We start from the raw sequence: 26,127 nt of genomic DNA on the forward strand, positions 1-26,127 counted from the left end.
TTGTAGAAATCATCATGTAACTTTTTATTATTTTATTTCTAGATTAATCTACTTTTGCAGTATTTCTTTTAAGTATTTGTATTTCTTATAGCTCATAATATATTACTATGTTGTTTGGGTTTCTTGTTAACTAGTTGAGGATAAGGACCTTGTCATCTTTTGTTATATCCCCATAATTTTGGACTTATAGTATGAGTACTAAGTAAATATTATTTGAATTGATATGTTAATATTGTTTGTCACATTCTCTGATAATTAAAAGTATCACCTTAGTTAATCTAAAAATGATAATTTTTTTAATTCTTAAGGATGTTTCAGTATCTGAAATTGACTTTACTTGATGGTTTTGAATTTCTACGTATATTAATTCTTTCAAAAATTTTCTTATATTTTCTTTTAATAATTCATGTCACTCATTGGGTGCCGGGCACCATGCTGGGCTCTTTAGGAAATATCTTTAATTCTCACAAGAAACCTACAAGGTAGATTCAGGTATTCTCATCTTGTGAATGTGAAGGCAGGAAATTTGAGAAGTTAAATAATTTGTCCAAAGTCACATGGGTATTAAATGGCAGAGCTGAAATTTAAACCAAGACTGTGTCTCTAATACTGGCATTCTTTTAAATATACATCCTTGCTTGGTTTTGTGTTTTGTGTGTGAGAACGAGAGAGAGTGAATATGTGTTACAGTATGTTGTTATCATGGCTTTTCATTTTTGGTTGACCTATTTTGGTATATCATTTATTAGCAATTTTCTAAAACCTGTAAATGGCTTGTAGTAATAACAGCTGACATTTATTGAGCATTTATAATGTGCCAAGCAGTATTCTAAATAATTTACATGTATTAACTGTTGAGTCCTTACAACAGTCTTGAAGGATAAGTAGGAATTTGATAAAGAAGGAATGCATTTTAGGTAAATAGAATGGCATGATGAAAGCAATAGCAGTGAGTTAATAAAGGGCATATTTAGGAGACAGAGAGGTGTCCAGTTTAGCTATGGTGGAGATAATTCTGAAAAGGACCAAATTACAGAGGAAGATCTTGAGTGCTGTGCTAAAGAGTTAGGTCATTTTTTTTTTTGGGCAGAGGACAACCACAGCAATACGTATGGTTGAGCGTATGGATTTATATATATATGTCTGATACATATAAGCATTTTAAGTGATATTATTTGTGATTTCAAAAATTAAAAACTTATTAGAATTATTCTTAGGATAGAATTATATATATATATTTTTTGGAAGAAATACTTTGAAAAATCAAGCGATGAAAAGTAAATGATAAAGAAGCTATGAATGAGGGAAATAGAAGACTTCTTTTCTGGAGTAGGATTGGGGATATAGGAAAGGAGAAAGGTGTGGGAGGAGGGGATAAGAAAAGAGAGAGAGCCAGAAAGGCAGCCGGAGGCTGTATGTCCATTGAGAGGTTTCCTTGTTATTGTCCCTGATCTTCAGTAAAGTCAGTTAAGCTCATGAAATACTTGATGTAAGAGGATTTTTTCTGGAAAAAGGTGAAATTTGGCATCTGGGATGAAAAAAACAACACATTATCATTGCAAGAGCTAGAAGCACATAGGACCATGAAACCTTAAGCTGTGAAGAATTAGCAGAAACCTTAGGGCTAGCTTTGCCTTCTACATGTCATATCATTTTTGGTTCAAACAACTTTACTAAGTTTTCAGAGAGGTAGGAGATGGGGTACCCAGCTGGCTTCTTAATTACAATGATTATTTTTGAGCAATGAAATGAAAAATTTCATTTAATTATTTTTAGTAATCATTTGTTGAAAACATGCTGGCTAGGACATTGATCATGCCCAGAAGGAGCACATCAAAATAATAACTGAATATATGCTTGTGAAATCATAGGAATTATATATATTAGTTTCTGCCCCCTGTTCCTGACTCAGAGCTCCTAAAACTCTTATAATATCCTGAGCGGTAGGGGTGCTAGGAACGTCTTTTGTTCTTATGTTTGGTCTTTGATCCCAGTTCCTAACACAGTTGGTAAAACTCTTAACAATTTGCTGAGTGATGGAGGTGATGGGAGTGTCTCATATGGAGCTCCTAAATCCCTTGGAATTTCCTGGGTGATTAGAATGCATCTTTTGTTCTAATGAGGTGACTCTGTGGGTTTCTGGATGGCATCTTGTCACCAGAAAGACCAAGCCAAGATTAGAATGGAACTTTCAGCCCCATTCCCAATCCTCTGGGCAAGGGAAGAGGAGATTGAGTTGATAATTTATCATGCCTATGTGATGAAGCCTCCATAAGAATCCCTGAAATACGGGATATGTAGAGCTTCTGGATTGGTGAACACATCCACCTCCTGGGAGGGTAACACACTCCTTCAACTCCTGACAACTTCACGGGAGCAGAAGCTCCTGTGCTTGGGACCCTTCTAGACCTTTCTCTGTGTACCTTTTCATCTGTATTCTTTATGATATCCTTTATAATAAATGGCGAAATATAACCAAGTGTTTCCTTGAGTTCTGTGAGTCATCACAGCAAATTACCAAACCTGAGGAGGGGATAGTGGGAACCACTGATTTGTAGCCAAGTTGGACGGAAGTATGGGTAATCTGGAACCTACTTTGATGATTGGCATCTGAAGTGGAGATTGATCTTATGGGACAGTCCTTACCCTGTGGGGTCTGTGCTAACTTCAGGTAGTTAGTTCATGATTGAAGTATAGGATTCCCGGTTGGTGTCTGGAGAGTTGGAAAATCAGTTGGTGTGGGAAAAACCTTCACACATTTGGTGTCAGTAGTGAAGTGTTGAACGTAGACTAAAAGGAAGTGTTTTTCCATTTCATGCTTTAGAAAGATAACTGATGGTAATGTAAAAGAATTGAAAGTCAGTAGACAGGACATGATGACTTTGATACAGGGCAGTGCATCTGGAAAAGAGAGGATGGATTTGAGATATTTTAAGGTAGGATCAACAGCATCTGGCAGATGATTGGATTTGGGGTCTTCAGAGACAGAGAGGAAACAAAGATTTAAATATCTCCATCTTGGATGATAGTGTTGGTAACCAAAAGTGGTACACTAGAGGAAGCCTGAATTTTAGGGGAAAGGTAATTTAAATTCGGGTATGTGTTATTTGAGGTAGGCTGTGTGGAAGTGAAGGATAGACATATTGATTTTTTTTTTTTCCAGCAAGGTGGGCAAGGTGGCATTTAAGGCCAATAGATAAGATCACATTGATGGAAAGTATAGGTGGAAAATATCTATCTTTAAGGATATACTGAAGAAGAAGGATCAGTGAATTAAACTGAGAAAGGAAAGGCAATGTATAGCACAAAATTCATAATAGTATACCTGTAGAAACCAAAGGAAAGACATTTGTAGAAAAAGGGGGTTGTACAAAGTGTATAAATGCTTAAAAGAGATAGAGCAGGAAATAGCCTGAGTAGAGGGTGTAGGGTCTGGCAATGAGAAATTACTAATGACTTTTGAGAGAGCATTTTTACTAGAGTGGTACGAATAGAAAGTAAAAGCAGTCATATTAACAGCAGCTAGTCTACATTTACTGACGCTGTGATATGTGCTATTTGCTGTGGCTACATGATATGTGCTAAAACTAAATTGCATTGTTTTATAGAATGAATGGTTATGATATTGGAGTAGAGAAAAACTTATTTTTTAGATTCTGAGGCAGTGTCTTGCTCTGTTACCCAGGCTGGAGTGCAACAGTGTCCCAATCACGGCTCACTGCAGCCTTGACCTCCCTGGGCTCAAATGATCTTCCCGTCTCAGTCTCCCAAGTAGCTGGGACCACAGGTGTGTGCCACCACGCCCAGTTAATTTTTTATTTTTATTTTTTGTAGAGACAGGGTCTCCCTATGTTGTCCAGGGTTGTCTCGAACTCCTTGGCTCAAGTGGTCCTCCTGTCTTGGCCTCCCAAAGGGCTAGGATTACAAGCTTGAGCCACCGTGCCAGCCAAGAAGAACTTGTATAAACTGTAAAACACGGTCTATAAAAGGGAAATATTAATCAGTTTGACCAGATAAAATTAAAAATATCCACATGATATTTATACAAATATGTATAAATATACATATATAATAAATATATGTACATTATAGTAAATGTATATATGTTTATATACATATGTGTATATAAACACACATATATTTAAAAATACATATGTATATGTACACATGTATATATAAATACATATAGACATATATAGTGTATATAATATATAGTCTACAATTATAATTATATAATTATAATGTATAATTATATATCACTTAATGTAATATATAATATTTAATAATATATAATATACTAATGTAATTTATATAATTATATATTTTATATATAATGTATCTATATATACATATATGTATATATATGTGCATGTGTGAAGATGTATCAGGAAAGATTAGTCTCCAAAATAATAAAGAACCACAAATGAATATGCAATGAATATGAAAAACTTGAACAACCCAAGAAAAATGAGCCAAGATGGTGAAGAGGTGCTGTTTAATTAGAAACTTGAATGGCCAAATACAAGAAAATGCATATCCTGGTAATGAAGGGAATGCAAAATAAAATGAGATACTGTTCTTACTTATCAGATATAATATACACAAATTTGAAGGTTCGATGATATCAAGTGTTAGCAAGGGTATGAAGAAATAGGAACTGAAACACTGTTGGTGGGAGGGTAAATTGGTCTAACCTGTTTGTGAGAAATTTGAGAGTACCTAGAAAAATAGAGAATATGTTTAACTTACGACCCAACATTTCTAAGACGCTTAAGTATTTACAGAGAAGTTCTCCATATGTGTGGAAAACACATGTACAAGAATTTCATTGTAGCTTTAATAAAAAGTTGGAAACAAGTATTCACAAGAAGAGGATTAGATGAATAAAGTTATTCATTCATTCCACAATTATTTATTGAGAGGTTACTATGTGCCAGGCACTGGGGTTACTGCTGAAAGTATGAAATATACAGTCTTTACTCTCAAGAAACTTACAGTCCAACAGATGAGAGACATTAAATAATTAGAAAAATATTCACTTTGGTGAATTTCTAGTTCTTAACACATGTCTAGAGGTTACTGCTCTGCCTTGGTCAAGACTTTCTTTGTTGCCTCAACAGAAATATAATATTCTCTTCACCTCATTTAAGATATTTTAATGCTAACATTTTCTTTTTGTCATTACAGACTTACGGCTTTTCACATTTACTGTATGTTGGTTGATCTCAACCAATTATCTTTTGATGCTCAAATTGTCGTGACATTGGCCAGTGGAAGGTCCTTTGAGATTTGCTTCTGTATCTTTCAACAAAACCACATAAATCTTACGAAACATCTTGTTTTCTTCCAAACCACGTGTTCAGACCCACTTTGTACTTTTCAGTATCAGATAGGAAGCTAGCAATTTCCCATTGAGTCCTTGTTTTTTTTTTTTTTTCTTTAGAAGAAAAAGTGTTAGAGACCATAATCTGAGTGCAAAGGTGCTTTGTGGGGATGATATTGACCCAGGCCATTTCAGTGGACAAGCTAGAACAGATACATGTTTTCAGTGTTTTTCTTATAAAGGCATGAATTCAAATTAATATTTGAAATCTATTTCTAACTGGATCATATTCCTACTTAAATTCTTGATTCTTTAATATCTAATTTTCTATCATAGAGAAATTTTTTAATAGTTACTTTTGTTTTGCTAAGGATTTTAGTGAAATTACTTTAGCTGGAGTCACTCATCTCTCATTTTCTGTGGCATTTATCTGATGGAGAGTTTCGTTCATTTGTTTCAGTTCCCTTTCTATTTGAAGGCATTGACATTCTGATATCTCACAAGTCTAAGTGCTTAGAAGGTAGCGGCTTTCAGCCACAGTGATTTTATATCACTACTACCCTCCAAGTCATCTACAATGAATTTATTCATAAGAATTTAATACAAGATTCTTAAACTTGGTTCTGTCTCTATTATTTAATTTCTAGTAATATTAGAACATGGTTGCAAAAATTAGATTATTTTAACAATGCTGAATCTGTCCTGATTTATCAAGCTTTTAAACTTATCTTCCTACCTTTCTGAGCTACAAACTTATTTCCTTGTATTATGCAGTTTTTCCTTCTCATTATATCGTGCTGTGCACTGTTATGTCGAGGTATATAGTATATAAATCCAAATGGCCCTCCTAGTAGTATCTAGACCGAATACCGAAAGTAAAAAAAATTTCTTACAATTTGTCTGTGAGCTGTCTATAAAGAAAACAATTAAGAATTTATTTTATTTTTAATAAGCCTCATCTTTCCACAGATTGCATGCTATCACCTGGCTAGCATTTTTTCAGGGTTTCTCTTAGATGACCAGGACATGATGGGCCTAAGAGCCATTAATTAAAAATTAGAATTTAGGGTTATCTCTGATATACCCATTGTATCTCAGGGACCAAAATGATTTAACATCTATCGTTGTGGATTTGTCTGTTTCTTCCTGAAGTTCTATCAGTTTTTGCTTCCTTTATAGTAATTCCTACTTAACGTCATAGATAGTTCTTGGAAACTGCAACTTTAAGTGAAACCATGTACAGTGGGTCCTCAACATCCTTTTGTTCAACTTCATTTCATTATAACAATGATGAGAAAAAAATTGATTTTATTATACATCATTTTGCTTAAAGTCACAGTTTCTGGGAACCTATTGACAACATTAAGTGAGGACTAACTGTATTTTGAAGCTCTGTTGTTAGGTACATAAACATTTAGAATTATTTATTATTGTTTCTTAATGAATTGACTCCTTAGTAGTTATGAAATGACCTTCTTTATTCTTGGTGATATTCTTTGGTCTGAAGTCGATTTTGTCTGATATTAATATAGCCACTTCACAGACAACACAACAAAAAAAGAAAATTTCAGGCCAATATCCCTGATCAACATTGATGCGAAAATCCTCAATAAAATACTGGCAAACCAAATCCAGCAGCACATCAAAAAGCTTATGCACCACGATCACGTCGGCTTCATCCCTGGGATGCAAGGCTGGTTCAACATACACAAATCAATAAATGTAATCCATCACGTAAACAGAACTAATGACAAAAACCACATGATTATCTCAATAGATGCAGAAAAGGCCTTCGATAAAATTCAAAACTGCTTCATGGTAAAATCTCTTAATAAACTAGGTATTGATGGAATGTATCTCAAAATAATAAGAGCTATTTATGACAAACCCATATTTTGCCCATACTGAATGGGCAAAAGCTGGAAGCATTCCCTTTGAAAACTGGCACAAGACAAGGATGCCCTATCTCACCACTCCTCTTCAACATAGTATTGGAAGTTCTGGCCAGGGAAATCAGGCAAGAGAAAGCAATAAAGGGTATTCAAATAGGAAGAGAGGAAGTCAAATTATCTCTTTTTGCAGATGACATGATTGTATATTTAGAAAACCCTGTTGTCTCAGCCCAAAATCTCCTTATGCTGATAAGCAATTTCAGCAAAGTCTCAGAATACAAAATCAATGTGCAAAAATCGCAAGCATTCCTATATACCAGTGATAGACAAACAGAGAGCCAAATCATGAGTGAACTCCCATTCACAATTGCCACGAAGAGAATAAAATACTTAGGAATCCAACTTACAAGGGATGTGAAGGACCTCTTCAAGGAGAACTACAAACCGCTGCTCAAGGGAATAAAAGAGGACACAAACAAATGGAAAAACATTCCATGCTCATGGATAGGAAGAATCAATATCATGAAAATGGCCATACTGCCCAAAGTAATTTATAGATTCAATGCTATCCCCATCAAGCTACCATTCACTTTCTTCACAGAATTGGAAAAAACTACCTTAAAGTTCATATGGAACCAAAAAAGAGCTCGCGTAGCCAAGACAATCCTAAGCAAAAAGAACAAAGCTGGAGGCATCACACTACCTGACTTCAAACTATACTACAGGGCTACAGTAACCAAAACAGATATATAGACCAATGGAACAGAACAGAGGCCTCAGAAATAGCACCACACATCTACAACCATCTGATCCTTGACAGACCTGACAAAAACAAGAAATGGGGAATGGATTCCCTATTTAATAAATGGTGCTGGGAAAACTGGCTAGCCATATGCAGAAAACTGAAACTGGAACCCTTTCTTACACCTTATACAAAAATTAACTCAAGGTGGATTAAAGACTTAAACTAAGACCTAAAACCATGAAAACCCTAGAAGAAAACCTAGGCAATACCATTCAGGACATAGGCATGGGCAAGGACTTCATGTCTAAAACACCAAAAGCAATGGCAACAAAAGCCAAAATTGACAGATGGGATCTAATTAAACTAAAGAGCTTCTGCACAGCAAAAGAAACTATCATCAGAGTAAATAGGCAACCTATAGAATGGGAGAAAATTTTTGCAATCTCTCCATCTGACAAAGGACTAATATCCAGAATCTACAAGGAACTTAAACAAATTTACAAGAAAAAAACAATCCCATCAAAAAGTGGGTGAAGGATGTGAATAGACACTTCTCAAAAGAAGACATTTATGCAGCCAACAAATATATGGAAAAAGCTCATTATCACTGGTCATTAGAGAAATGCAATCAAAACCACAATGAGATACCATCTCACGCCAGTTAGAATGGTGATCATTAAAAAGTCAGGAAACAACAGATGCTGGAGAGGATGTGGAGAAATAGGAACGTTTTTACACTGTTGGTGGGAGTTTAAAGGGAGTTCAACCATTGTGGAAGACAGTGTGGCGATTCCTCAAAGATCTAGAACCAGAAATATCATTTGACCCAGCACTCCTATTACTAGGTATATACCCAAAGGATTATAAATCATTCTACTATAAAGACACATGCACATGTATGTTTATTGCGGCACTATTCACAATAGCAAAGACTTGGAACCAACCCAAATGCCCATCAGTGATAGACTGGATAAAGAAAATGTGGCACATATACACCATGGAATACTATGCAGCCATAACAAATGATAAGTTCATGTCCTTTGCAGGGACATGGATGAAGCTGGAAACCATCCTTCTCAGCAGACTAACACAGGAACAGAAAACCAAACACTGCATGTTCTCACTCATAAGTGGGAGTTGAACAATGAGAATACATGGAGACTGGGAGGGGAACATCACACACCAGGGCCTGTCAGTGGGTGGGGGACTAGGGGAGGGATAGCATTAGGAGAAATACCTAATGTCAATGACAGGTTGATGGATGCAGCAAACCCCATGGCATGTGTATACCTATGTAACAAACCTGCATGTTTTGCACATTTATTCCTGAACTTAAAGTATAATAATAATAAAAAATATAGCCACTTCAGCTTTCTTTTGCTTAAAGTTGCATGGTATATCTTTTTTCATCCTTTACACTTAATCTATTTGTGTCTTTACATTTAGAATATGTTTCTTATAGGAAGTACTAGCTGAGTCTTGCTTTTTTATCCAATCTGATAATCTTTGCCTTTTAAATTAAGGTGTTTAGGGCCAGGCACGGTGGCTCTCACGCCTATAATCCCAACACTTTGGGAGTCCAAGGCAAGTGGATTACTTGAGGCCGGGTGTTTGAGAACAGCTTGGCCAACATGGAGACACCTCGTCTCAACTAAAAATACAAAAATTAGCCTGGCGTTGTGGTGCATGCGTGCAATCCCAGCTACTCAGGAGGCTGAGGCACAAGAATCGCTTTAACCCTGGAGGCAGAGATTGCAGTAAGTCAAGATTGCACCACTGCACTCCAGCCTGGGTGACAGAACGAGACTCTTTCTCAAAAACTAAAAATAAATAAATAAATAAATGTGTTTAAACCGTTTACTTTTAATATGATTATTGATAAAGCTAGGTTTAAATGTATCATGTCATTATTTGCTTTCTATTTGTTAAATCTTTTTTTTTTGTTTTCTTTTCCTCCCTTTCTACCTGCTTTTGGATTGAGTATTTTTATCATTCTCTTTTATCTCTTTTGTTGTCTTATTAGCTATAACTTTTTATTGTTATTTTAGTGGTTTAAGGTTTATAGTATACATCTCTGACTTATCACAGTCTGCCTTCAAGTGATATACCAAGAGCCTTACAGTATACTTCACCTTCTCCCTCTTGGTCTTTATGATATTGTTGTCATACATTTTACTTATTTATATGTTATACACCCCACACATCTTACTTAATATGTTATCCACCCCATAGTAAATTACTATTATTTTGGTTTAAATAGTCAAATATCCTTCAAAGAAGGTATCATGTTTGGTGTTCTTCATTCCTTTGTGTGAATCTGTATTTCCATCTGGACCAGTGGTTTAATCATGGCTCAATGCAGCCTCAACCTCCTGGCTCCAGTGATCCTCATCCTCACACTTCAGCCTCGCAAGTATCTGCACCGCACCTGGTTAATTTTTATTTATTTTTAGAAATGAGGATCTCACTATGTTGCCCAGGCTGTAGTGCAGTGGCACGATCTTGGCTCACTGCAACCTCTGCCTCCTGAGTTCAAACGATTCCCTTGCCTCAGCCTCTCGAGTAGCTGGGACTACAGGTGCCTGCCACCATGCCTGGTTAATTTTTGTATTTTTAGTAGAGATGGGGTTTCACCATGTTGTCCAGGCTGGTCTTGAACTCCTGACCTCAAGTGATCCATCTGGCTCAGCCTCCCAAAGTGCTGAGATTACAGGCGTGAGCCACCGCGCCCAGCCAGAATCTTCCTGTTTTAGCCTCCCAAAGTGCTGGGGATTATAGATGTGAGCCACCATGCCTGGCTAAGGTTTCTTTTAATGCAGGTTGGCTAGTGATGTCTTCTTCCAGCTTTTGTGTATCTGAAAACGTCTTTATTTTGCCTTTATTTTTGAAAGGTGTTTTTGCTGCATATAGGATTCTGAGTTAATGATTTTTTTTCTTCACTACTTTGAAGATGTTGCTGCACTATCTTCTTCTTTTGTTTCCAGTGAGAAATCTAATATCGTCCTTGTCTGTGTCCCCTCTTCAAAGAGTTAATTATGTATAGAATATAGGATATTATTATTAATAACAAGAGTATTGTTGATAATACCTTATATTAGTTAACTCTACAGTATGTAAAACATTTCAGCATTCATTCTAACTTGATTTTCATAGGCAGTCAGGAAAATCTAACTTGATTTTCATATCTTTATTTTAAAAGATAAAATTAGAAAAAAAGGATTGGAAAGATTGTGACATACTTCACATCTTAAGACAGTAATGATAATGTTTGTTACCATTATAGACATTTCTCTGGTTATCTTTAGACCGTATGTTTATTTTTTAGATGAAGATAAAACGTTACCTGCAGAGTCGGGATGTACAATAGAGGATCACGTAATTGCAGGAAATGTAGAAGAATTTCGTAAAGATTTCATTTCTAGAATATGGCTGACCTACAGGGAAGAATTCCCTCAAATAGAAGGCTCAGCTTTGACAACAGACTGTGGGTGGGGCTGCACATTGAGAACTGGCCAGATGCTCTTGGCTCAAGGACTCATACTACACTTTCTTGGTAGAGGTAAATCAAATTTCTGTTTTTGTTTTGTTTTGTTTTGTTTTTTTGTCGTCGATATTTTTCCATTTGAATTCCAGCTTACAAACTGCATGAAATTCCCTGAGGTTAATTTCTTGACTGTGAGATTTTCTAAGGAGTTGTAACTAATTTGGTGTATTGCATTTTTTTTGAACTGGGTCAGATATGACTTATATGTAAACTTCCCTGATTCCCTTTTCAAAAATGCAGGTTAAATATACCTGTTATTCTTGGTCACCATTATGAGTTAAGTTAGTTCAATTTTTAGTACCCTTTGGATTTTATTGTTCTTACTGTTTCTTTCCTTTTGGTTGAACTCTGGATTATCTCCAGTTTAGTTAAGTCCTGGGCAGGTTAGTAACAGTGATTTTGAGGACATATGTAATATTTTTAAAATTTTAAGAGACTTTACTCTGGTTTCTTTATTTTCTCCCTACATGTCAATAATGGTTTAAAAGTATTTTTATCTTTATTAGTGTGATTATACTCAATTATATTAAATCAATTAGACATACTCTTTCAAATTAAAAACTTTTTTTAGCAATAGGGTCTCACTCTGTTGCTCAGGCTAGAGTGCAGTGATGTAATCATAGCTCATTGCAACTTCGAACTCCTGTGCTCAAGCTATTCTCCTGCCTCAGCTTCCTGAGTAGCTGGGACCACAGGTGCGTGCCACCATGGTTAGCTAATTTTTAAATTTTTTTGTAGAGATGTGGTCTCACTATGTTGCCCAGGCTAGTCTTGAACTCCTAGGCTCAAGTGATGCTCCCACCTTGTCCTGCCAAAATATTGGGATTACAGGTGTGAGCCACTGTGCCTGGCACTAGACATATTCCTAATAAGGTAATCATGCAGTTTTAGACCCTAAAAAATGTCATTGATACTTAACTTACATATATATGTTTTTCCTAATGTGCCACCTTTGTGTTAGTCCATTTTTAATAATGTGTACATTTGTAAGAATATTTTAGTTTACAATTTTAAGATATCATATTTGATTATTAAATATTGTCAGATTTTTATAAGTGTTAAGACAGTATCCCTACAATGCATGGCATATATTTAGTAACTTTTTTGTAGAGATTATTGATGAGATTATTTAGAGAGAATGTTTATTGAAGAATGGTGTTGAAAATGTAAGGAAAATAATTTTTAAACTGGTTTTCTGGGATGATTTATTTATAGTCTTGTGCAGTCATGGGCAAGGATTGGAATATTTTTCAGTCCTCACTAGATCTCTGAATCTATGACTTATTTTGTTAACTTAAAATTACATGCATGTTTGGGGATTGTCTTGTTATTCAAAACAGTGACATAATGGATATATTTGATTTTTCAAGGTCTTTGATCTTTTATGATTTCATTTATTAACTATTAGAGAATTGTTATTACTCTGTTAATAATGATTAAGTTATTCTGAAGAAACGTACAGGAAAATATTTTGAAAAAAATTTAAAACTTCCATGGTCAGACTTCTATTTTAACATATAATCAAAACATCCACTTTCTGAAGATATCTTCTTATGAGTATCATAAATGTTAGTAAATATGTTTATTGTGCCTTTGGGTAGTCAAGACTGGATGTTTGATAAGCAGTCTGATAATGAAATACAAAAGTCTTTATCTCAGCACTGTCAAAGAAGAGAAAAAAGAACATCTGGGATTGTCCATTTTTACCCAAGGTTACTATTTTTTCTTTCTTTTGTCTTGTATTTTTGTAATTTTTTTCTTGATTATATGAAATTTTGGAAACTACAGAAAAGTACAGAGAATAATACCATTAAGGTAGAAACATCATTGATATTTGGCATATTGTTGTCTTGTACCTTTGTTTTTTAAGCAGTTTTATTGAGATATAACCTATATACCATAAATTCACTCATTTCAAGTGAATAATTCAGTGGTTCTTAGCATAGTTATAGAGTTCCACAATCATCACCATAAATCTAATTTTAGAACACTTTTATCATCCCTTGAAGAAACCTTGTACTCATCAGCAGCCACTCCCAGTACCTCTCCCTAAGCAACCATTAATCTACTTTTTGTTTCCATGTATTTACCTATTTTTGAATTTACTGTCTTAGTAACCCAAATGACCTTAAATGCTACGTATTTATTTTAGTAGAATTGTTAAAGTATCTATTTAAAAGATCTGAACACTTTGCTTTGGAACTACTATAGCTTGGACCTGGCCTGATGCTTTGAATATTGAAAATTCAGACTCTGAATCATGGACTTCCCACACTGTCAAAAAATTTACTGCATCATTTGAAGCATCACTTTCAGGGGAAAGAGAATTCAAAACCCCAACAATTTCTCTGAAGGAAACAATTGGGAAATATTCTGATGATCATGAAATGCGAAATGAAGTTTATCATAGGAAAATCATCTCTTGGTTTGGTGATTCCCCCTTGGCTCTTTTTGGCTTACATCAACTAATAGAATATGGAAAGAAGTCTGGGAAAAAAGCAGGAGATTGGTATGGACCAGCTGTGGTTGCTCACATTTTAAGGTAAAATTGTTTTAAAATCTTTCTTCTTGTGACAGAGGTCCTCAGGATTAAGAGATACTGATTTTTGCAATGTGTATATATAATTGGAACTTTAAAAGTCTAACTGTATGAGAATGTTGATAAAGACGCTTTCATTTGCCAGCAGGGAAAAAAGAAGACATATTGCGACTCTAGTTACATTTAATTTATTTACTGACAAATTTTTCTTCTCTTTCTCTTAGGTATAGACATCCCAGGTCTCTTTCTAACCAGGTTTTCATTAGAATACCTTACTGAAATGCTCTAAACACTAACATCTCTTTCAACCTTGGAACGTGCATAACATTATAGTTTTTTTTAATAGTGTAACCTGGGGGCTGTAATGTACTGATAGTGTAATGAAATGTCAAGAGCTAAAATTGATATTTTCGGCATTTCTTTGCACACATCAAATTCTTGTGAATTGGAAATGTATGGCACTATTAATATTATAATTATATCATGGTAAAAGTAAAGGATCTGTGACATTCAGGATAGTTAGAAAAAAGTCAAAAGTCAAATTTCACTTTACTTCAGCTTTTTATGTACCATTTATTTTGATACCAAGTTTTTAAAAAAATTATCTTATTTGTGTGTGTATCCCATTTTTGTTATAAACTAAATCATTAATATTTCATATAAGTATAGCATGTTGTGATTTAAATTTACTCCATTTAAAATCATATATAAATTTGAAATCATTACAAAGCATTTTTGCATATTAACATGCTTCTATATTTTATAGGCCAGATGCTTACAATTGAAAAGTATTTGCCTAATGTTATTAATTTGATTGTTAATAATATATCAATTCCAACTTGGTATGACATTTATAAAAGCATAATCATAAAAGCATAGTTTCTACCCTTCAAGATGTTCTCTACTCCGGGGGACAGCAAACTTCTTCTGTGAAGTGACAATAGTAAATATTTTAGGCTTCACAGGTCTTGTAAAGGTTTCTGTTGACCGTCTTTCCTCTCCCTCCAGTCCCTTAAAACTGTCAAAAACCTTTCTTAGCTTGCAGATGGTACAAAAACAGGATACAGGTTGTATTCAGCTTATGGGCATAGTTTGCCAGTCTTTCTTCTACACTAACACATAGGAACATGAATAATAGGGCATTTTCAATTAAATGATTACATATATAGTTAAATAAAATTACATTTCCACAATTTGCATAATCACCGTTTATAGATATTGTTATTGTGATTTTTTTCACATCATGTACACCATTGAGAACATTATACTTAGGAATATTGTTTAATTTACAGTTTTACTTATATAATTTCAAGACTTGAAATTAGGAAATTCATTTGTTCAGGTCATATAGGTTTTTGAATGAAGGAAAAAAGTCATGCTGTTGTTTAAAGAACGAACAGTTTCTTAAGTGTACTAGAGGACAGACACAGTAATTGACTCCTAGTCAGTAATGTAAGTTAATTTGCAGCAAATCTTGCAGCATATTCATACCACTGGTAAGGTGAGTGGTTGAGAGAAATCCTTCTTTTTGGAGGGAGGGGAGTAGAGCTTTATACCCAATAATTTTTTTTAATGTATTTTGTAATTTGTGTTTTAATGTTCTTTGAGTAATTTAATGTAATATTCAACTTTGAAAATTTTAATCTGATGTCTGATACCATTCAGATAATAGTTTTTGACAGCAGACACTATGAGTTAAATAGGAAAGTCACAAAACTGCTGGCATTTTTTCCTTCTTAAATTAAATATTTAGTTGCCAATAGGAAATGTTAGGATTTTGAAAGATAATGCTTGTTATTTTCTCAGAAAAGCAGTTGAAGAAGCAAGGCATCCTGATTTACAAGGAATAACTATTTATGTTGCACAAGATTGTACAGGTAAGGAATGTATATAATTCTAATCTTTGTTTTATTTGGTCATACTTTTTATATGTGTTTAGCTTATCCCAGTAATACTGTAAATGATTATGAAGGTAGGGACCATGTCTTATACATTTTTGTTCCTAAATGTAGTAAGCATTTAATAAAAATATTTTTTGATTGAATACATACTATGAATTTTTAGTTGCGATATTAAAATAAATTCTCAAAGAATTTCAGCATTTCAAATAACTACTTTAAAAGTGATAGGCAGGAAAATTTAACATAGGTATATACTTGGGCTGCATGTATGCTGGGAACCATTTCATTGGTGGACGTGTTTCAAGGAAAGAAAATTCTTAGTTTATCTTATGAGGAATTGAATATATTTCTCACTAATACTTCAGTAAATCATCTACTAATGATGCAGCTATTGTCCAGATTTGCTTTGTTTTATTGTTTTGGGTCTTCTTTTTGATGATCACTCTCTATACAGGTTGAGTATTTTTTATCCAAAATGTTTGAGACCACAAGTGTTTCCGATTTTGTATTTTTTGGACCTTTCAATATTTGCATGTATGTAATGAGATATCTTGGGGATGGGACTGAAGTCTAAACATGAAATTCATTTATGTTTTGTATACTCCTTATACACATAGCCTGAAGGAAATATCATACACTATTTTTAATAATTTTATGCATGAGACCAAGTTTTGACCGTGTTTTGATTGCAACCCATCACATGCAGTCACATGTAGAATTTTTCACTTGTGAAAAATGCTGTGCTCAAAAAGTTTTAGATTTTGGATTAGGAATGCTCAACCTGTAGTAATTTTGAAACTTGTTGCGGATAAAATAGACACCTCAATTCTTAATAAATTAAAAATGGCTTAGCCACCTCATGCTGTTAAGTGTTTTTTTTACAGGAATACTGTTAACAATGATAAAATATGTTAATGTTTTAGAAAAGTTAAATATACTTCAATCATGTTTTAATACAAGGGTATCTATAAAATGCTTAAGGTTACACTGATAACCACCTAGTGTTTGTAGTGTGTAATAATAGTTACCAAATATTCATGCGTTTTTGTTTGGCCTTGTAAAGAAAGACCAATATCCGTAATTATAGCCATAGGAAAAGAAAAGGTCTAAATTTTCAGATAAGTATATGAGTTTTGCAGGTACTATGTTTTTCAAGTAGGAAGTCTTGAAAAACATTTGCTGTGTTAAATAGTTCTAATTAAGCCTAAGGATGTACCTAAACAAGTAATCATTAAATAAATGTATGAATTTACCTTTTGTGCTTTTATTAACACAGTCAGCCTAGATATTTGTTACATATAATTAAGCAAACATTACAGTGTTCCTTGTTATAGAAATGGTTTGTGTAATTTGAAGAAGTTCTTAAAATTTTTATCATTCATGTTTAAGACTCCTAAAGGGAGAACTTGTATTTGTATAATTTTTATAGACTATGAGATTAGGAATTAAGTGAGACCAGACTCTATCAGTGATTTCTTCCCCCTCTGTCTTCATTAGTGTTTTTAAAGGTTTTGTTTTCTATTTATTTTCTCTTTTTCTTATTCTGTGTTGTTTTCCTTTGTAATTGCATCTATTTTTATGGCTTTAAATACTTAGGACTATGTACTCTATACTAGGACTTTTAAAAATACATTTTTAGAGCCAAGCACAGTGGCTCATGCCTATAATCCCAGCACTTTGACAGGCCGAGGTCGGGGGATCACTTGAGCCCAGCAGTTCAAGACTAGCCTGGGCAGCATGGTGAAACCCTGTCACTACAAAAAATACAAAATTTAGTTGAGCATGGTGGTGACATGCCTGTAGTCCCAGCTACTCGGGAGGCTGGGGTGGGAGGATCACTTGAGCCCTGAAGGCGGAGTTGCAGTGAACTGATATTGTGCCACTGCACTCCAGCCTGGGCAACAGAGTGAGACTCTGTCTCAAAAAACATTTCTAACCCTACCTGAGTCAATATGTGATAACTTATATTTTCTGCCACCTTTCAAATATCTCCACTTACGTATTCTACAAACACTTCAAATTCAGCACGTTTAAAAGTACACTTACTGTTTCCCTCGGTCCCACCCCTTTTTCTTCCTATTTTCTCTTGACTAATAGTGGCATGTCCACATATGTACTCAAGTAGTAAGTAGAACCCATTTATTCTTGACTGCACTTTCATTGCTTATATTATATTTAGTCAGTCAACACTTAAGAAAATGTTCCTGAAATCTGTTCTCTCATCTTCATTCTCGTTGATTTAGATCAGACCCTTATCTCTTGTTTGGACTTTAGCTTGATTTCCCTACCTGTCCTCTTTTCCCTTTTTGGTCCATCTGATCAAAAGAAACTGATCATGTCCCTTTATCTACAAACCAATGACTGCCCATTAACTCCTAGTCTCATGTTATCTTGGCATATGAAGCACAATGAAGTCCTTTATAATTTGTCCCGACCTACATTTCCAGCATCACCTTCTAACTATCTTCCATACACAGTACACTAAAATATTTTCCGCCCTCAGGCCATTCCTTAGACATGGTGTCATTATCTTTTTTCCCCATGCCTTTGTGCATATTATTGCCTCTGCTTGGAATGCTTTTTATTATTAGAATGCCTCTTGTTAGGTCTTATTCATTCTTCAAGAACACGCACAAAGGTTATACCTTTGGCAGTCTTTCCCAACTCTCGTTAGGCAGAATTACTTTTCCTCTGTGGTCTGTAACATTTGGAAATACTTCTATTAAATATTGAACTTATAATTCACTTGTGATATCACCTTATAATTGTTTGTTTCTTATATATAATATCAATGATTGTTGAGGTAGCAGGCGTAGAAGTAAGGTATCAGAATCATTTGGTTGAGATTCGCTGCTGTAATGAGCCTCTGTTACAGAATTGGACTATGTCATATACCTTACATATATATTGGAAGTGAAGGAAAAACACCAAACATTTGGGCTAGACAGTGTTTGAAGTCAGGATCTTATTTATTTTATACCTCTCTAGTGTAGAACACATAAATAAATTGCAGGTCCTCAATAAATGTGTGTCGAATGAAGATGAAGGGTAAGAATGCAATCTCTATCCCGATGAGGGAGAACTACCATGGCATTTTTGTAGCTTTGGTTTCAATTGACTATGGGAGATAGGGGAGTTAGGTGATGAGAAGAATTTGATAGCTCAGTCTAAATTTGGAATTTAAAGGAAAGAACTGGGACAGAAGTGGCAGAATTTCCTATTCGGCTCTTCTGGGAAGATCAGAAGAGTTTCATTCAACTGACAAGGAGTATGGGTGTAAAGTATGTTTTGAATAAAACTACTTTAATTTGAATAAAATAAAATTTTGTCTATATTTGCTTCTACCAGATCCTCCTATTTTCTCTTGAACTGTGGTACTTAGACTGTCATACCCACCATCATACCAGAACTGCTCTTTTCTCTTTCTCTCTCTCTCTTTTTTTTTTTTTTTTGAGACAGGGTTTTACTCTGTTGACCAGGCTGGAGTGCAGTGGTGCGATCATAGCTCACTGTTACCTCAAACTCCTGAGCTCAAGTGTTGCTCCTGCCTCAGCTTCCCAAGTAACTAGCATTAAAGGCATGCATCACCATCCCTGGCTAATTTTGAAATTTTTTATAGAGATGAAGGTCTCGCTATGTTGCCCAGGCTGGTCTTGAAGTCCTGGCTTCAAGTGATCCTCCTGCCGCAGCCTCCCAAAATGCTGGGATTATAAGTGTGAGCTGGCTGGGCATGGTGGCTCATGGCTGTAATCCCAGCACTTTGGGAAACCAAGGCAGGGGGATCAGAAGGTCAGGAGTTCGAGACCAGCCTGGCCAATATGGTGAAACCCTATCTCTATTACAAATACAAAAATTAGCTGGATGTGGTGGCAGGTATCTGTAGTCCCAGCTACTCGGGAGGCTGAGGCAGGAGAATCCCTTGAACCTAGGAGGCGGAGGCTGCAGTGAACCAAGATCGTGCCACTGCACTCCAGCCTGGGTGACAGAGGGAGACTCCGTCTAAAAAAAAAAAAAAAAAAAAGCATGAGCCGTTGTGCCCACCCCAAAACTGCTCTTACCAATAATTTAATCTTTCTAAGCCTCGCAGTAACTTCTCAGTCCTCATATCACACAATCTATCAGTAGCATTTGACACCGTTGACTCTTTCCTCTTCCTCCTTACAACACTTTGTTTACTTGATTTCTGGACACTACTCTGTAGATTTTCCCTCTGCCTCCTTATTCACTCCTTCACAGCCTGGTTTGTTGGTTTTTCCTCATCTCCTTGATCTCTAAAAATGTCATGTTTTAGTGCTCAGCCTTTAGACTTCATCTCATCTTTTTTTCTGTCTATACTGATTTGAATTCACCAAGTCTTGTGGCTTTATAATGCAGATAGTAATCTGCATGTTGGTAACTCCCAAATTGATAGGTCCATTCTAGTCCTCTCTCTAAACTCCAGTTGCGTGTCCCTGTCTACTCAACCTTTCTGTTTACCTAACAAGTATCTCAAACTGAATTCCCAATTCTCCCTCCTATATTTTCCCCTCCTCCAGTCTTCCATGTCTTTATAAATGGCAACTTTCTTACTCTGTTTGCTTAAACCAAAACCCTTCAAATCACCTGTGACTCAATTTTTTCTCTCACATCTTACATTTAATAGTGAGTCCTTATTTATCTTCAGATACATGAACTGATCACTTTTTTTTTTTGGAGATGGAATCTCGCTCTGTTGTCCAGGTTGGAGTGCAGTGGCACGATCTCAGCTCACTGCAACCTCTGCCTCCCAGGTTCAAGCGATTCTTTTGCCTCAGCCTCCCAAGTAGCTGGGATTACAGGTGCCTGCCACCATGCCCGGCTAATTTTTTGTATTTTTAGTAGAGACGGTGTTTCGCCATGTTGACCAGGCTGGCCTCGAAGTCCTGACCTCAAGTGATCCACCCACCTTGGCCTCCCAAAGTGCTGGGATTACAGGCGTGACCCACCACACCTGGCCAAACTGATCACCTCTACGTGACCATTCCCTATTTTTTTTTTTTTTGAGATGGAGTCTAGCTCTGTCACCCAGGCTGGAGTGCAGTGGTGCGATCTCCACTCACTGCAAGCTCCACCTCTCGGGTTCATGCCATTTTCCTGCCTCAGCCTCCCCAGTAGCTGGAACTATAGGCGCCCGCCACCATGCCTGGCTAATTTTTTTGTATTTTTAGTAGAGACGGGGTTTCACCATGTAAGCCAGGATGGTCTCGATCTCCTGACCTCGTGATCTGCCCACCTCAGCCTCCCAAAGTGCTGGGATTACAGGCGTGAGCTACCACGCCCGGCCGACCATTCCCTATTTTTACAGTTACTACCTTTGTTCAAACCACCATCATCTCTTTTTTTCTTTCTTTTTTTTTTTAATTTAAGTTCTAGGGTACATGTACGCAACGTGCAGGTTTGTTACATATGTATATATGTGTCATGTTGGTGTGCTCCACCCATTAACTCATCATTTACATTAGATGTATCTCCTAATGCTATCCCTCCCCCCTCCCCCTACCCCACAACAGGCCCTGGTGTGTGATGTTCCCCACCCTGTGTCCAAATATTCTCATTGTTCAGTTCCCACCTATGAGTGAGAACATGCGGTATTTGGTTTTCTGTCCTTGCAATAGTTTGCTCATAATGGAAAGCCACCATCATCTCTTGCTGGATAACTGCAGCGGCTTTGTAACTGTTCTCTGTGCTTTAGCCCTTGCCCCTGTAGCCTATTTTGGTTTTAGAGTAAAATGAAAGCAAGTTTATTAAGTAAGTAAAGGAATAAAAAAGTTGCTACTCCATAGGCAGAGCAGCCCCTTGCCTATACAGTCTATTATGAACACAGGAAACAGGCTGTTAAACTGTGAGTCAGATTAGGACATCCCTAAAAAATTCTTCAATGGCTTCCCATCATTGAAAAACTGGTCTTTACAATGGCTTTCAAGAGCTCACACAATCTGTCTTCATTCTCCCCTATAACTATAATCGTATCTTCTAATCCCATTTTTGCTACTGTACCCCTTGTTTACTTCCCTCCAGAAGACTGGCATCTTGTTCCTGGGACATGCTAATTATACTTCTGCCTTAAGATACTCGCACTTTTTGATCTTTTAACTTGGAATGCTTTTCCCCTAGGTATCTGTCTGTATTACTTGGTTTCTTTCTTTTGGTCTTGATTCAAATATTACTTTCTCATAAGGTCTTCCCTGGCCACCTTATTTTAAATTGCCTCCCCCTCAGCATTTCCTGTTCACTCTTCTCTCTTTGTTTTTTCAAAGCATGCATCACCATCTCTATTTCCTCCATTAGCATGCATGCTCAAGAAGAGTGGGAATTTTTCTGTTTTGCCTGCTGCTGAAGGCCCAGTGTCATATAGTAGCTAGCTATCAATAAGTATCTATTGAATACATAAATCAGGTAGGTATTTTTTTTAAACTTTTATTTTAGGTTCAGGGGTACATGTGGTACTTGTTAGATAGGTAAACTTATGTCACGGGGGTTTGTTGTACAGATTATTTCATCACCCAGGTATTAAGCCTGGTACCCAGTAGTTATTTTTTCTGCTCCTCTCTCTCCTCCACCCTCCATCCTCAAGTAGACCCGAGTGTCTGTTGTTCCCTTCTTTGTGTTCATGAGTTCTAATCATTTAGCTCCTACTTTTAAGTGAGAACATGCAGTATTTGGTTTTCTGTTCCTGTGTTAGTTTGCTAAGGATAATGGCCTCCAGCTCCAACCATGTTGCCACAAAAGACATGATCTCATTCTTTTTTATGGCTGCATAGTATTCCATGGTGTATATGTACCACATTTTCTTAACTGTGAGATGGGCACTTAGGTTGATTCTGTGTCTTTGCTATTGTGAATAGTGCTGCAGTGAACATTCGTGTGCATGTGTCTTTATGGTAGAATGATTTATATTTTCCTGGGTATATACCCAGTAATCATTGCTAGGTCAAATGGTAGTTTTGTTTTTAGCTCTTTGAGGAATTGCTATACTGCTTTCTACAAATGGTTAAACTAATCTACACTCCCACCAGTGGTGTATGAGTATTCCCTTTTCTCCACAACCTCGCCAGCATCTGTTATCTTTTGACTTTTTAATAATAGCCATTCTGACTGGTGTGAGATGGTATCTCATTGTGCTTTTGATTTGCATTTCTCTAATGATCAGTGGTATTGAGCTTTTTTTAATACGCTTATTGGCTACATGTATATCTTCTTTTGAAAAGTGTCTTTTCATGTCCTTTGCCCACATTTTAATGGGGTTGTTTGTTTTTCTCTTGTAAATTTGTTTAAGTTCCTTACAGATGCTGGATATTAGACTTTTGTCAGATGTATAGTTTGCAAATATTTTCTCACATTCAATAGGTTATCTGTTTACTATTTTGATAGTTTCTTTTGCTGTGCAGAAACTCTTAAGTTTAATTAGATCCCATTTGTCAATTTTCGCTTTTGTTGCGATTGTTTTCGGTATCTTTGTCATGAAATCTTTGCCTGTTCCTATGTCCAGGATGGTATTGCCTAGGTTGTCTTCTAGGGTTTTTATAGTTTTGAGTTTTACATTTAAGTCTTTAATCCATCTTGAGTTGATTTTTATATATGGTGTAAGGAAGTGGTCCAGCTTCAGTCTTCTGTGTATGGCTAGCCAGTTATCCTAGTGGTATTTTTAACTTACTAAGACATTTCTGGTGATGCCAGAGATGAGATAGCTGGCTGTCCATTGCGGGGTGGAGGATAAATTTGGGTAAAAATATTTCTGAAAATCGCTTTTATATAAAATTTAATACATATTCATTATGTTTTTCTCAGTTTACAATTCTGATGTAATTGATAAACAGAGTGCTTCCATGACTTCTGATAATGCAGATGACAAAGCTGTTATTATTCTAGTTCCTGTTAGACTTGGTGGAGAAAGAACCAACACCGACTACTTAGAATTTGTGAAGGTATGAAATAAGTGCTGAACTTTTTTAGGGCAATACTAGCTAATATGAAAAATATAGAAGGTTTGCAATTTTTTTCTGTTAAATGAGTAGTGATGATTTTGTAGTTGTACGTTGTACGTTGTAAAGTTTGACATTAGAGATTTTAAATTTTGGTATTATAAGACCAATGTGAGTTGAAGAGCACAGTGTTCTATAACAAAATGAAAAGCCTTTTAATCTTTGTAGCTAATCAGGGAGACACAGATGCAGCAATAATCATAACCTGTAATATAGTTACAGTTTCATTATTCTTATTTGTAATTTTAAGTATATATCTTTATTCATAAAACTAGCATTAAACTACATCACATTAATTATTGAAAAAACTCTCTATTACTGCTATGTTATCTCATAATATGTTTCCTGTGACACCATGATGTCAATAAGAGATGAGATTATTTCTATAGCTAGAAATAATGAAGATATGAAGATAGTATTTGGAGGAATTCCAACTTTGTTTTTTTCATCTTAACCAGTTAAAAATCGGTTCTTTCTTGGAGCACATTGTTTGGTTTCTTGCTTCAAAAGAACCTGTGTAGTTATGGTATCTTGTTTTGGGCACCAAGACATTCACATATGATAAAATACCTTGGAAATAGTTTCTGATTAAGGCAGAAGTTTTTAGTTTATTTTCATAGTTTCAATAAAATTCTTCATTTTTTAGTAGTCTCTTTTTGCAGCAATAGTTGGAATTCTTCTTTAAATGGAGTGTTATGGGATATAGTAATGTTGAAATAAAGTCTGAATCTATCTTTTATGATTAATAACTATTTGTTCCCTCCATGAGGCATCCCATGTTATAGTCTCTATATATTTAGTTGGAACATCTATTCTCAGGGTAGATTGTGCTAATTCTAGAAATCTAGAGCAGTTGTTTTTAACATATGATATACATGGAAGTTTTTTAGCTGGTATACTGGCTTTTCTTAATAGTTACTAAAATTTTGGAAGCACATTTGTTACTAAGAGTAACAATACTGTAATATATCAATGACATATTAATCTTCCAAATAAAGGTAAGGTTTTGATGTCTGACATGTATCTTTAGTAGGGTTATTGGTGCAGTATGAGAAGCTGTGAACCACTTCATCTAGAGAATCTGTTGAGGGTTTTGAGACTTCTGACATGTTGTCATCTCTAGGTGGGTTCTAATCAAATCTGAACTGGATTCTTTTTTGCCTTCTCTACTACCATGAGAAGATTAGAAACTGATGCAGTCTTGGAACTGATTCCTTTAGCCAAAGCTTCATTCCTGGTGGAATGGGTTGCAAATGGCTTCAGGCATGTTTCATCTGGCTGAGGACTTTGCTATTTGGTGGTATTGATAGTATTCATTAGATGGTCTCACTGCCTAATGCTCTTGAGTGATTCATGGTTAATAGCTTGACCATGGTTTGTAGTGAAATGTAGCATCCTGCTACATTGTATGAGGAGAAGGAAATTTGATGTGTGTTTTATTGGTCCTTACCACAGGAGGTTTATTTATTTATATTTTTTTAAGGACCTGGAATGAGGAAAATCCAGTATGTTCTTTTTCTTCAGCAAGACAAATTAGGACTTTTCTTTTTGTAGTGAAATGAACTATGGTTAAGCTGTTAAAGTGAAGCCTCAGTATCTAACATATAGGAGTTACTCAATACATATTTGTTAACCCTAATTTGTATAATACTTTTCAATGTAAATTTATCTCATTTTGCCCTCACAGTAGCTAGGAACTGGATTGTCTTTATGAAACAGAAAAGACATAGAGAAGTCAAGTGATATATCCAAATTCAGATAGCAAACTGGTAGCAGAGACTAGACTTTTCTTGACTGTAAGTTTGTTTTTCATGGTTTTCTCTAAAACATGAACTTTTTGAAAGGTAACATTTTCTCGAGCTTTTACTAACTTGATTTACACCGTAGTCCACTACAGTGGGAGAGCAGTGACTATTGAAACATTTTGATTTTCCAGTTAGGTAAAAATGGCTGAAATGGTTAAGTGGAGTAGGTTATATGATAGGTATTATGTTTGGCCAGAGGGGATGGTTGAGTCAAACCCCAATGAGAGCATGTAAAGAGGTATTCACTTAGAAGTGAAAAGGTAGTGTGTTCATTAGCCCTAAAAGAAAAATAATTTTTTCCTTTTTTTCATGTATGGTCAGCCGTTGTATTTTTTCCTGCCAAACCAATGTGCGTTGGTGAGTCTAAAATGTACTGTT

At 35.6% G+C, this 26,127-nt stretch overlaps 1 protein-coding gene across 2 annotated transcripts in view, besides 1 other annotated feature; it reads left to right on the plus strand.

Moving 5' to 3' along the window:
- ATG4C (autophagy related 4C cysteine peptidase) overlaps positions 1–26,127 on the plus strand; it is an 81,385-nt gene that overhangs the window by 21,158 nt on the left and 34,100 nt on the right. For both annotated transcript variants that reach the window (NM_032852.4, NM_178221.3), the window contains exons 4-7: positions 11,286–11,519; positions 13,716–14,046; positions 15,850–15,920; positions 23,751–23,887. In NM_032852.4, the coding sequence (NP_116241.2) occupies positions 11,286–11,519; positions 13,716–14,046; positions 15,850–15,920; positions 23,751–23,887 (773 nt within the window). The remainder of the gene's footprint in view (positions 1–11,285; positions 11,520–13,715; positions 14,047–15,849; positions 15,921–23,750; positions 23,888–26,127) is intronic.
- Positions 3,555–3,614: an enhancer, noted in NCBI's record as "active region_1123". NCBI's record gives its function as "activates an Ori minimal core promoter by ATAC-STARR-seq in GM12878 lymphoblastoid cells {active_cell/tissue: GM12878}" and the evidence as "EXISTENCE:reporter gene assay evidence [ECO:0000049][PMID:35858748]".

Source organism: Homo sapiens, chromosome 1 (genome assembly GCF_000001405.40).
Source record: "Homo sapiens chromosome 1, GRCh38.p14 Primary Assembly".
Classification (NCBI taxonomy): Eukaryota; Metazoa; Chordata; class Mammalia; order Primates; family Hominidae; genus Homo; species Homo sapiens.